The sequence below is a fragment of the Homo sapiens genome, chromosome 22 (assembly GCF_000001405.40).
Source record: "Homo sapiens chromosome 22, GRCh38.p14 Primary Assembly".
Taxonomy (NCBI): Eukaryota; Metazoa; Chordata; class Mammalia; order Primates; family Hominidae; genus Homo; species Homo sapiens.
The window spans coordinates 27,996,429-28,009,991 of NC_000022.11; the positions used below are offsets into that span (position 1 = coordinate 27,996,429).

The following is a 13,563-nucleotide window of genomic DNA, read 5'->3' on the forward strand; positions in this document are numbered from 1 at the left end:
GTGGCACCCTTTTGTCCCCTTCCTTTTAAGAATCAATATTGTTCAGCTGTTCAGGTTAGTGGGGCCTGCTATTTTGCAGAAAGGAGCCGAGGGAAGTGCAGTAGGAAAACCTGCCTTGTTTTCTCTGAAATTCATCTTTGTCTATCCTTAGGCCTTTAGGGGGGAACACGTCAGGGGAGGGGAGGTGTGCTCATCTCCTCCTTGCCATGGGGGCCATGGGGAGGTGGGGAGCGGCTACTCCTCCAGTTCTAAACCAGCAAACCAAGTTCGGCTGGGAAAGACCAACTGGGCTGAGGAGCACCGCATCCCACCGTTCCTTTCCACACTCCCTTCCGAAACAGGGCCTGGGGGAGCAGGTTCTCAAGCCCACAGGCAACTTTAGGACCAACCTGCCCCCAGATCATGTAGGGAAAGGGTTTTCTAAGATAATGAGCTGTTTTTAAAGGTAACAAGAGAGCATCACTAAAAATGGTTTCATCCAGAACAAAGTTGTGACTTATCTATCAACAAAACTAAACAAACAAAGATCCTTTTCAAAATGCCATGCCCGTAAGCACACTGGGCAGACCTGCAGAGACAGGAAAGGGGCCAGGTCCCCACAAGCCCTGCAGTAGGTTTTGTGGGATGCTGTGGGGCCCAAAGCCCCTTCTGACTGCCAGGAGCAGGTTGCACAGGACTTGTGTGATGAGGACAATAATGGAAACCACAGGGGTCACCTCTACTTTCTGCGTCTCCTAAGCGCAGGAGGAGAGGCAGGTGAGCAGCCCTCCGTGCCTGCTTGTGCATGCTTCGCCTGGCAGAACCAAGGGACGGCCGTGAGGTGACTAGGCAGGGCAGGGTATATGCCTGTCGGACCAACTAAATGCTTCTTTTCAGCCATATGAAGAAACAGGAACAATTCTATTTTGTTTTTTGAATAGCTCTGTGAAAAATACTACAGTTGTGTTTGTAAAGTAAGCAAAATGTTTTCATCTTTCAACAGCATGACCCATCTGCCTGGCACCAGCACCTGGGGCTGCCAGGCAGCCACCCCTGCAGCTGTGTTGACAGGACCTGGCAGAGGGACTGACCCACCTTTGGAAAATGACACCAGCAATATCAGGATGTGTCAACTGGATTTATGCTAAGAAAATAGGATTTTTGGTGTTCCTCTGTTTCCCAAAGTTTGAGACACTTTCAGACACTCTGCTTTGCGGTTGTGGCCGATGTTACCCATGGGTGGGACTTTTGCTTTGCTCTAGATTTTTGTAACACCCTGGGGAGTTTCAGGGGCCAATGCTGAGAGAAGACCACAGGCTGACACATCATGAGGTATGTTGGTAAAACAGTCCCGGCTGGCCGAGAGGCCACTGAGGGAACAGGCCCAGGGTTTGGTTTGTACTCTGTGAGTCTTGGCCTGGCAGGGTTTCCTGCAAAGCAGAGTCCTCTGAGTGGGACCCCAGGGGAAGCAGGTTGTTGCCTGGAGCTGAGGGGCAGCTCTGTATTCAGGAGGGGTGCCTGCCTTCCCATCTCCCCTGTGACCAGATGTCACAGAAACATTCTCTCTTTACTCCCTAGACCCTCTGGGCAGGTCCACTAAGAGCATGTATTCTAGAACATGCAGGGCTTGAAGCTTCACAAGATATTCAGTGCACTCCTTACAGATCCTGTCAAATGTGGACCGGGTGGTGTCATCGCACCACCATCATCCCCTTGTTACCCCTGAGAACACAGCTTCAGAGAGGGTAAGTAACCTATCTCAGGCCACACAGCCAGGACATGGAGTAGATCCATCCTAAGTCTTTCTACCACACACTCCTTTCTACAGTCATGGGTTAAATGAGGGTGCCATGGAATGGGTCATCCAGTGTACACTGACATCAGGAGGAGTTTCACATTCATACACTCATGGCAAATGGTTCTGTTGCTCCCTGGTCCAAAGATGATCTTAATAGTAGGAAAAACTCATTTGGCAGAAGCAAGACTCAGCACACAGGCTCTCTCCCTGAGTCTTCTGTGGCTGGCCTTGCCCTGCCCTCCCCTCCCCAACCCCACTGGCAGAATAAAGTCGGGGGGCTGTGAGGACTGAGCCCCAGGCCTTGACAGGCACCCGCAGCCAGCCGAACTCCCACCTGCCCAGTTGGAGGGGTGCGAGAAGGCCTTGCTGCTCTGCACCACCTTCATGGCCTCCCCCAGGGCGGCGCTGGCTTTCAGGCCGTTCAGCAGGGATGAGTAGAAGGCATGGATGAACATCTTAGAAGCAGCCACTGGCACAGGCCACAGAGACACGAGGACACACTGAGCGCCGGCAGCCAGGAAGGCCCTTGTCAGCGCGATGACCCCGTCGGCTGTGACTTTGCTGTTGGACTCCTGGGAGGAGCCAAGCACCACCAGCTTCACAGGCAGCTGCAGGTCCAGGACGTCGGCGGCAGTAAGCAGCAGCTCCTGCAGGGGCGGGCAGTCCGAGATGCTCTCCCCATCACTGGCATCGTCCTGCACCCGCAAGGACTCAGGGATCGTGTAGGGGTGGCCGAAGGAGCTCTTGCTGCTGGCAGGGTTGCCGTCCATGCTGGGCGTGAGGACCAAGGCCGACAGCTTCCAGGAGATGTGGGTGGCAAAGTGGACGCATTCAGCCTGGGTCAGGGCACTCATGACCCTCTCCTTGGTGGCCACACTGCCCACTAGGGGCTGGCAGCCCAGCAGCTCGGACACCATGTAGGCCTCTTCCTCGGCCGATGGCATGGGCCCCCACAGCCACCTGTCCATCACGGCCGATGGTAGCTTGGGGTTGCCGATGACAGCCGCCATGGATGTGGAGCTGGAGTATGTGGGCGGGTTCTTCCGTAAGTGAGACTAGGAGGGGAGGGGACAAAGCAGACCACCCGTCAGACAGAACAGCCAGGCTGCCCGGCAGTGGTCGGCCGAGCACAGGGACGGCCAGCTCTCTGCTGGTTGAGCTTGAATCCACCTGTTTCCCCAGTCACCACATTCACTCTTATTTTTCAACATCTTTTTGACACAGGTGCCTAACTTACTGAGAATCATGCCTGCTGTGATGAGCCCTTGGAAACCATCAGGACTGGATGGTAGGGGTCCTGAGAGGATTGGGGGAGGAGGCCTTGATATGACAGAGTGGACAGAGGCCGTGGAACCCAGGACAGCCAGCCTGCTCCACAATCCTCATCCCCACAGACCTTCATGTGTGGCTCCTAAATAAGAGGAAACCCACTCCTGATAAGTCAGGGGCTTTGAAAAGTGATTTTGTTTAAATGGTGCAAACAAGCAAGCCAATCTTGGGGAGACAGGGCTAAACTTAAGTCCTTTAAGAAGCTCTACATACTGACAAGATTCTAGTTCCCTTCCACCTTATATGCTGCAAAGTAAAAAGTATCACTGAATGAGAAAATCAGCATAAAGAAGCCCAATAATGTCTGCCTGAGTTTCCCCTATGATGACTTTTGGTACTTTTTGGGAAACATTAAGTATGAAGTTATTTCAAAATAATTTTTTGGTGCCTCTGCTTGGTGATGCCTTAAACTCTGGGTAAGAGAAACACCAGGTGCCTGTCAGGAGATGGCCTTTTCCAGGTTTCTGGTTAAGCTACAAACAGCTAACTGGCTGCTGTCATCAAAATAAAAGCTTTCTGAAGGTGGAGGCATCTGATACCCAGAGTGCTGCTATCAGCCGGCACGGTGGGCCGCTGGGTGGCAGGAGCGTCGAGAAGGCCAGCTCGCTTCCTATCTGGGATTCAGAATCAGCTATGGAAACTTGAGAGACCTAGAGAAAATAACTTCTTTCACTTTGAACTGATTCTTTGCTTCATAAGAAAAGTATTATCCAGCCACAAAAATGGTCAAAATTCAGATCTACAAAAGCCTGTCAGGCAGAAACTGACCCCACTTAGGCCACGCCAATGAGCAAGTCATCAAAGCAGCCAAGACAGGTCCTGTGGGGGCCACCCATGCACAGGGCCCAGCCTCGGGTCCTAACCCCGCCTATGCTTTCCGCCACCATAAAGAGGCCCATCTGGGTAAGACCTGTCCCGCCTGCTGTGGGGTATTAGGGCAGATGGGGTCTGAGGGGTCTGAGGGCTCTGAGAGCAGCTGGCAGCTCAAGGACATCCGGAGTTGGAGGATGGAGCAATGCAGGCCCTTGTGGTAAAGACAGTCCTGCAGCCGCGCAGGCAGGGATGCTGCAAGTGGAGTGCCAGGCGGGTGCGGAGCCCTGTGGGACTGTGGAGGGGTCAGAGGGAAGCCAGGATTTTGGGGTCTCTGAGAGTTTGGAGAAGGGGAAGAAGATTAAAGCTTGTTTCAAAAGTTTCTAATCAGGTGGGCAGGGCCAAGGGTGGCTGTGGGGTGAGACCCATGACTCAGGGTGGCCCACTGTTACTCTATTGATTTTTGGGCGTTTTTTTCCAAATTGATTATTCTTGCTGAATGAGACCTGAGTCCTTGACTGTCCCCTTAAAGCCACCTGACTTGTTTTCAGTTCCACTGGCCTGTCGGGCTGTTTTCTACTCAACTCCACTCTTGCTTGTCTGCCCTCCCTGCCTGGGGCCCAGCCAGCAGTCAGCTCAAGGGCCAGATGAATTGGGTGGCTGTGCTCTGCCCACTGGGCATCGTGTGGATGGTGGGTGACCAGCCCCCTCAGGTGCTCAGCCAGGCCTCAAGCCTTGCTGTGTACCTCAGAGCAGCTCCGTACCCTGATGTCACAGCAAAGAAACTTAGACATGACACAAACTGTGGCTTCCCAAGGCAGCAAAGAATGGCCAGGGGTCATGAGGGCCGTGCCCCACTTTTGGACAGACCTACTCTAAAGTCACGCTACCTGCGTGCAAATCATAAAATCAACACTTTTGAGGAGATCACAGCTATGCCTTCGTAACACAGCCCAGTCCGACCAGATAGACGGTGCCTCGTGACCCGAAAACAAGCCCCCGGCCCCCCACCATGTGTGTGAGCCTTACCTTGGACTGCACGCTGAGGGAGCGGATGGAAGGGACAGCAAGGAGGCCGAAGCGCTCGTAGAGGTACTCATTGGAGGAGCTTCCCTTCAGGAGGGCGAAAGGAATGAGGTAGAGCTCCCCCTCCAGAACCAGGATGAGCTGCCGGTGCCGGCCCACGGGGCCGCTGGAGTGCATCAGGCCCTATGGAGCAAGCACGGAGAGGCTGACATGGGTGGCCCAGCAGGCAGGGGTTTCAGGCACCAGGACAACCCTGAGCCCTAGCCTGGATGACACAAGCACGAGCAGGTGAGGCCTGTGGGGGTGTGGGGCGCCATGGGGCATGGGCCGAGTTGCAGCCCTGCAGGAGCGGCACCAACTGGCATGCTCGCTTGTGGACTGGCAAGGGCTGGCCTGGCAGCATCCATCTGCCTCACAGTCCTGAGAAGGTTAGAGGACAGTTTCTTGAAGTTCACAAGAACCTGAAGTGGGTTGGAGACCGGTCTGTACCGCACAGGCACCCTGAGAAGGGGTGGGAATGGCCCCTCTCAAAACAAGATCTGTTTTCCATTTCAATGGACAAGAGGCTAGAAAATCACAGTGAGGACGGGAGGTCTGGGGGCTGGCATGACAGCCCCTGTAGAAGGGGATGGGCTGGGTTCTAGGATCTTCCGTGACCTCCTCTGAGAAAGAGTGGCCCCTTGGCTCTGGGCTTGGGAGGTGCCGTCCCCACTTGTTCCCTCTGGGGATGTCAGGGGACCCAATGCATGGATGACTCCCATCCCTCTTGAAAGGCCGAGCATGAGGACTCGAGGCAGGGTGTGCACAGGGCCACAGCGGACACAGCCTCATTCCTGTTCATTGCAGAACAAGGCTAAGGGCGCGGGCATCTTAATGAGAGCAGCAGGCAACAATCCTGGAAGCTGGGTCCACACAGACTGCGGTGAACAAAGAGGTGGCGTGGAAGCTGCTGCTGCAGCCCAGAGCCTGCCAAGAAGGTCCCAGGTCCACAGGGCCTGCGCAACACTGGGTGCCAGGGGTGGGGCTGGCCTGCCCCCCAACCCCATCTGCTGAGGAGTGGCTGACAAGCGGACACCCACCAGGGTGCCACTCGCTTGTGCCTGGGGAAGCAAATGTGCTCGCTTGACCCGTCTGATGTGCTGCCGTGGGCACTTGACTGAGAGTGGCAGAGCACTAGGCTAACCCAAAGTGACACATGCCTGGCGGGATGTTCAGTCTCTGTAAACCCATATGGTTTTTTTTTTTCTTTCCTTTAAAAAAAATTTCTAGCTCCATCTAGCGAAAGCAGAAATAAAAAGTATTAGGCCAATTTGTTTTTCATTTGTTTGCTGTAAGAGCTACAGCATGGGCCAGGCACCAGTGGCTCACACCTGTAATCCCAGCACTTTGGGAGCCCAAGGCGGGAGGATTATCTGAGGTCAGGAGTGCAACATGGTGAAACTGCATCTCTACTAAAAATCCAAAATAACCGGGTGTGGTGGCATGCACCTGTAGTCCCAACTACTCAGGAGGCTGAGGCAGGAGAATCGCTTGAACCCAGGAGGTGAAGATTGTAGTGGGCCAAGATTATACCAGTGTACTCCAGCCTGGGGGACAGAGCGAGACTGTGTCTCAAAAACAACAACAAAAAAAGAGCTACAGTATTTCCCAAGAGGAGGTAAATTAATCACTGTTCAATTGTGCAACCTAGGCAGGAAGAAGTAGGGGTGTGTCACAGTGACCCCGACACTGTCTATGGATGAGCTCTGGGTTAGCACAGGGAGGAGAAAGAGTTGTAGGGCACCTGGGCCCCATGGCCTGCCATGGGCCACACCTGAGCTCCCTGGCCGGCTCCATAGGTAAAGGTGGCTCAGGGGGCTGCTCTGGAGGGCAGTGCCACCACACCGTGGAGGTGTGCCAGTGAACCTCGAACCAGCCGCAGTGGCACAGCTGATGCTGCCCTGACCCTGCTGACAGGGTCAGCAGCTGTGACAGTGATGACCACCTGCTGCTCAGTGGGAACTGTGCTGCCTGAGAATGGGTAGTGTGGGGCTTGAGCCACCTGCCATGTGCAAAACTGGACCCACTTCCACTGTTCCAGAGTCGCAGGGCTTTGCTGTGACAAGATGCCAGCCCCAGCCCCAGCCCCAGGCCTGCAGGTCCTCCCTGGGCTCCTGCTGCCTAAGCCCAAACCACAGTAAGTTTCTGTCAGATATCATCCCACAGGCTACTGCCTTCACCAGGACACACGCCACTCATAGACAAGTCCCTGGTCATGACAGCACCTAACTGTGTGAACCGGAGGGAAGCTTGGCAAGCTGAAAAATGGAGAAGTGAGGCTGGAATCCACGCAGAGCAAACATTCACTGGCAGCCCATCTTCGTAGAACTCTGCTAACTCTGCCCACGAAACCTCATCTGCGGCACAAGCCTAATGATCAGAGAATGCATGTCCTTGAAGGCAGCTTGTCTGTCTGCTCCAACACTCCACCAGGGGTGGGGGGCATCTCCTGTGGCCCTATTGTCAGAAGTCTCCCAAGCTGGGCCTCGACTTTCCCATCAGCCACTGAGTGGTGTCCGTCATGTGCCTACTGGGGACCGTAGGGAAGTCAGATAAATTTAGGATATGGTCCTTGCTTGCAGACTTATGATGATGTACTTAGAAAACTAAAATGCACACAAGAGGCCATTGCTGAGTGAAACTCAGTATTGTCAAATGTAACACCTTCATGGCAGCATGGCAGCCCCAGAACGGGGAAAGCCTACCCAGGCTGACGCTGGGCCCACCCAGGAGGGTCCGTGAGGGTTGGGGAAGGCCTGGGCAGATGCTGTTGCCAGGTGAGCACAAGGCTAAAGAGGGACATGGGAGCCAGACTGTGGGGGCGCTGAAGATCAGGCAAGAAAGTGTGGTTCTTGTTGGCTGTCAGGACCCGCCATGCCTTCTCAAGCTGAGCCCTGCAAAGCATTGAGAGGCAGCCTGCCTGCCTGCGGGAGAGGGGGCTGTACCCAAGAGTAATTCAGACCAGGGCATGCCCACCAAGAGAAGAGACAAGGAGACTTGCTGGGACTCAGTGAGAGTGACCTTAGCAGGTGAGGAGAAGTCTGAAGTCCAGGCTGGGAGATAGGGAGGCTGTTCTCTGAACCTCATATCCCAATTTGGAGGTCTGGGTCCTCCCTGCATCATGCCTAGGAGCTGGTACCAAGCTTGGCTCATGCATACAACCCTGGGTGAAGGTCCCCAAATGGGACCCCTGTCCAAACTCTGTGAAATGAGGCAGGTGACAGTCGCAGCTGTTCTCTGAAATGTGTGGGCTTGTGGGGAGACGGGTAGAACAGCAGGCTGACAGCTGCCGTTCAAAGGGGGAAACTGATTGGACATGTTAGAGATAATGCCCAGGAAACTTGTCAGCTCTGACTCTGGTGTATGTGTGCTGTCCTTGCACTGAAAGATTAGTTATAATCCAACGTGAACTTGAAAAGGGGAAAGCAAGCGATATCTCTATTCAGCTTACATATCATCAGTCAGACTACAAAGGAGAGACATTCAAGGAAACACTATTCAGCACCTGGGCCTGTCAGCCTCAGAAAGGGTGTCTGCTGGCCTCTTAAGGCTTAGGGTTGAACAATAAAGTGGCTCACGCACCAGCCTTACAGCAGCAACTACCAGAGTCTCCAACAGATTCCATCAAAGACTCAGATGTTCTGACCTCTGCAGTTTCTAGTAATGGGATTTCTGAAAGCAGAAGATGACAGGGCCAGGTGCACTAGAATCTGTCTCTTCCCCAGGGGTGCCGCCCTGCGCTCTCACCAAGGGGCTGTGACCCTGACTGTGGCAATGTGAGTCCAGGCAGCAAATGATGCTTGAGAACTTACGGTGTTCCAGGCCAGGTGAGGGAAAAGGGGAAAGACACAGTGCTGGGCAGGCAGGCCACCATGCACAGCACTGTGGGGCTGCCCTGGGGCACGGTGATGACAGGGGTTCCGTGAAGGTGCAGTCTTTGTACAAGGAGAGGGTTGTTCCTTCTGACAGGGTGGGCAGTGAGTGCACTGGAGGTGGCTTTGTGCAGCTGTTGTCAGTTTACTGCCTCTCAGGTCCTGAAGCCCTTGTCACTATCCGCTCCAAGATAGGCTGCATTCCTTTGGCTGTTTCTCCCACGATATGCAGGGTGCTGAGCTGTGTCAGTGGAGTGCACTAAGGGGCACTGAGGAGGCAGGAGCCCTCCTGCTGGCCTGGGTCAGTGGTGGGTGAGGACATCCAGAGGGGCCTGCCCAGCCACGGGCCCAGAGCGCTGTCCCGTTGCCACCTTGCAGTCTCGGCCTGGTGATAATCTTCCCTCACTCCCAAGGCCTCCTGCCTCTGCAGGTCCCTGGACTCCCTGGCACCTATCACCGCTGGAAGCTGATGGCTGCTCTCCTGCCCACACTCAGGGGGCTAGCGCTTGCCAGCAACTCCAGACTGGCTCTGGCCTGGCCAAACAGTGGACATATCTCTGTGTCCTGTGGGCTGAATCACACCTCCTCCCATGTTCATTCTTTACTAGGTACACTCCCTCAGCCCTAGAGAACCACACAGCTTCCCTATATCTTACAGTTATTTGCCTATCATGGGTAATAGTTCTCAATACTAAACATCCGTGGTTAGTCTACGGTGTGGTTTCTGTCTCCAGATGGACCCAGAGGATGAAAAGCCGTGTGCAGTGGCCCAGGAAGGGATGCTGCATGCTGGGGAAAGAATAGGGGGTCTGAGGGGAGGCCCTGTCACGGAGTCTGGGTCAGCCTGCCAAGTCAGGGTGCTCCCAGCATCTGGAATTGCTAGATGGGAGGCGAGGGGTGAAAAACCAGTAGGGTTGGGGGTAGGAGCTCTGCACACTCCAACAAGACACTAACCTCTCTGCACCTTGGTTTCCAAACCCACAGGACAGCGCTAACATCCATTCCTCACAGGCCTATGAGGCCAAGGTAGCTGCACAGTGGGTAAAGCATCTAGCCCCATGCCTGGCACTGGTGTGCACTCCAGACATATTGGTCAAATGCGAATTTACAACTGTCTTCAGTGCTTGGAATAAAGTGATACTGCCCCTATTATTTATACTATTCTTTTCTCCTGGCCCATAATCATTTTTCCAGTATTACTCATTCCCTTTCTCTCTGGCGTTTACAAACATTCATGTGGCTAAAAGAGACAAATGGCTTCTCTGGAACATCCAGCTCCGAATTTTAACCCAGAGACTATGAGAGACAGAGGTCGTCACATCCCCCTCACCTCATCTTCACGTCACCATCGCTATCCTCCACACCTACTTACTGAGCCACCACCAAGCAGTTACCCTGAAGTCCAGTTTCCAAGCCCAGAGTTCTCCCAGGCAACCCCCAATGGATCCCGAATGTGTCTTTGGGTGGTGAATTCTGATTGGATTGCCGTTTCGGTCAGCGGGACCTTCTGCATATGCCCTGGTTGAGTACAGGTCGAGCTCTTCAGAAAGCACTCATAGCAAATGTTATGTTGATCATGTCCTAATCTGGAGTTTAAGAAAGATGCGCTCCTTGCGTATCGCCAAGGTTAGAGGATCTGCAGGTGACCTCCGCGGGGCACCGGGGAGTTTCCTTTTTACTGGCAGACACGGCAGGCCTCTCAGGGATTCACAGTATCACAGGCCAGAGGAATGAAAATCTCTGATCACCATGGGGGAGGGAAAGAAAATGCCTGGGTCCATGAGCTTTCAGACTGATTAGACTTGGGATGAAATGGACTTTACTGTCTACAATAAGGATTCCAGAGGCAAAGGGCTTCAGGGTATCCAGATACCCCAGAACTGTGTATAGGGCTTCACATTTTTTCCTGACTGATATTTTTGATGGAATAAATTTATCAAACAGAACTGTTTAAGGTAGAGGAACCCTTTCTGTGATGCTGCTGGGAAATCCTGTCATGATGGGTGGATACATACAGTTTTGGCAAAGATCACACACCTCCTGGAAATCACCCTCAACCATAACTGAAGCCCACCAAGACTGTAGATACTGTATTTCAGCCAGAAATGGAAAAGCGAACATTCAACCCATTCAACTGTATGCTTTGGCCAAACAACCGCCCACTGGTTTGCCTGAAGTACCTAAGAAGGTATTGGAGAAACGTGACCAATGGCCAGCAAGAGCCAGAAGGGCCTGCCTGAAACCCAGGGTCCAACTTCAGCCAAATCAGCTTGAAGGGACTGTTCAAGCTGCAGGAGCCTCTGTGCAGTGGGCAGGGTTGGAGGGGCGGAGGGGAGCCTCTCTCTCTATCTTGGCTGACCTGGTAAAAATGATCCCTCCACCCCTAGTGGCAGAAGACCCTGACCTGCCTGGAACCTGCCAGGGTAAGGCTAAGATGTCTGCTTGTTGAACACCAGCTAGAATAGAGCCAGCACGCAGATGACACTCATGTAACAGCAGCCATCCAGGTGAGAATGCCACTTACCACGTGAGATCTTGCTGGTTATCCTGGGTGCTGCCACCACTGGTTTTAGTCATACAGACAGTTTGCAAGTAATTGCCTCCATTTTTCCTCCTCCTAATCAGTTGTGAAAATGCTTGTTGTCCTTGGGTGATGTCTGTCCTCATTTGAATATCACTACAGATGTCTCAATCAGAAATCAATTAGACAGCCTGGTGGTGGGGCTGCCAGTCTCACAGGCCTCATCCTCTACCTCATACTGGAATCTAGGTCTGATTGTTTCTAAGGACAAAAATTCCCTGGCTATACCCAAGCCTCCCAATCTATTTAGAAAACAGGCAGCCACGTGGTCAGTCTCATTCCTGTTGCATCTGTTCTAGGAGAGGCCGACTTATCCTGCTACCTGATTTTGCAAGGGGTATTTTACAAAACACAAGGGAGTCCTTTCCCCCAGGGCAGTGATTACAGTCATGACCCAACCAAGGCCAAGCCACTCTCATGGCCGAGCCCTCGGCAGAGCTAGACCCCTGCTTTCACTCTTAGATGAGAAGTCTTAGGTGAAATCCCTGAGCTCCAGTGCTTGGAAAGCAGTTCAACAGCCTAACAGACATAAACAAGTTTTGAATAAGTTTCTAGGATTTTAAACAGGTGACTCCACACTTCATGAATCACAAGCTGAGGTGAATGAGATGTACTTTTCTTTCTGATCAAAGTCATTTGCTCTTGCTACCTGTCCTAGAACCTTGGTTTTTAAATTTAAATACAGGAAACAGGGAATTTAAATAAAGGGAAATAAAAGTAAGGATAACAGAGACTCTATAACTAGAGCAAGTCTAAACTCCAAGGATCCTGAAAGATCCCCAAATCTGGACCTTTGAAGAGTAACTTGACCAAACGTAAGGTATTCCTTAAATCTGGTTCCTTGATTATAGCAGCTGCTGGCTCTGGACGAAGGGCCCAACTGAAAACTGAGGGGTGATTTGGGATCTGAGTGGACGAGTGGCTTTGCCTACAGCAGCCCTGCAGAGCCCTGCCACAAGTTTGCTGCTGAGGGAGGGACGCTGGAGAGAACTCGGAGGCAGCCTTGTGCCTTGGGGTGGTGGGGACAGGACTGGCCCAGATCAGTCCAGGGCAAGAAGCAGGGAAGTCCAGGTCAGAGACATGGGTTACTATCCTTCACTCTAATTTGATTAAAAACTAATACCACAGACACAAACAGGTCCCAGTAGTCCCTTTCATGCTAAACACTTGCAACTTTTCTTTAGTGACATTTTCTCCTTTGGGGACTACACAGGATCTGACTTAATGTTTGATGATGGCTCATGTGCAAATGCAACCGGGCCCTCCTCAAAGATAAGCGGACATGCTCACCCCATCCTGACAGCAAAGGACAGCGTGGTTCCAGGAAAGAGCCACGACAGTGTTTCCCTTAGGCCAAATTAAATCACATACTGGTGTAAGGCCTATGGTAAAATATTATTCTGTTCCACTTTTCATACTGTCTGACCTAGTCCCTTAGCAATAGGACTGCGGCTAAACAAAGGCAGTTGTTCAAATAATTATATGCCCCATGTGAAGAGGCTAATCGTTTTAGTCTTGAAGTGTCAGTGATTCACAGTCTTGGACTTTTGGCTTTGATGTGCATTCTCACTGAAAATGTGGAGAAGGGTCTGGCTTGGCAGCTGACAGCGGCAGCTCTGGAGCCGGCTAGCGGTGTTATATCGCCCTCTTGTGGCCTCTGGAGCAGTGCGTGGGTGCTTGCAGCCAGAAGCAGGAGAATGATCCAGGCCTTCCCCTCCACCTGGGCAGCGCAGGTGACGGGTGCCAAACCCTCCCGAGATGACGGGGTCACTGAGGCTGACCTGCCACAATTCGGCATGGCCCACCGGCCTCGGGTGCTGGCCTCCATCACCACCATTAGCAGTCTGTGAGTGACCAGACATGAGAACACAGGCCCCTGGCCCAGATTTTCACCTGTCTTCCCCAGGTTTAGGACAGTGTGTGCCTGGCACAAGTCAGTAAATATCTGTTGAATGAATGGATAAAACTGGGGATGGAGAGGACTCCTAATTAGACTCCAACTTTTCAGTTAAGTGTTTTTACTGATACACAATGGATCATTTTAGTTAGCCAAGGAACAGTGCTTGCTCTGATGATTTACTTTAATACCTTTAAAAAGGTTTCACTCTGTCTCATTTAAAGCAGCCAAA

General features: G+C 52.6%; 1 protein-coding gene and 1 long non-coding RNA gene across 9 annotated transcripts in view; one reads left to right on the forward strand and one right to left on the reverse strand.

Moving 5' to 3' along the window:
• Nucleotides 1-6,251, forward strand: part of TTC28-AS1 (TTC28 antisense RNA 1) — an 83,304-nt gene extending 77,053 nt beyond the window's left edge. The window contains exons 4-5 of the long non-coding RNA NR_026963.1: nucleotides 983-2,410; nucleotides 3,002-6,251. This is a non-coding gene — a long non-coding RNA (TTC28 antisense RNA 1). The remainder of the gene's footprint in view (nucleotides 1-982; nucleotides 2,411-3,001) is intronic.
• TTC28 (tetratricopeptide repeat domain 28) overlaps nucleotides 1-13,563 on the reverse strand; it is a 701,827-nt gene that overhangs the window by 18,415 nt on the left and 669,849 nt on the right. For all 8 annotated transcript variants that reach the window (NM_001393403.1, NM_001145418.2, XM_047441214.1 and 5 more), the window contains 2 exons: nucleotides 4,946-5,125; nucleotides 2,112-2,832 (listed from right to left, as the gene is read on the reverse strand). In NM_001393403.1, coding sequence (NP_001380332.1) covers nucleotides 2,112-2,832; nucleotides 4,946-5,125 — 901 coding nt within the window. The remainder of the gene's footprint in view (nucleotides 1-2,111; nucleotides 2,833-4,945; nucleotides 5,126-13,563) is intronic.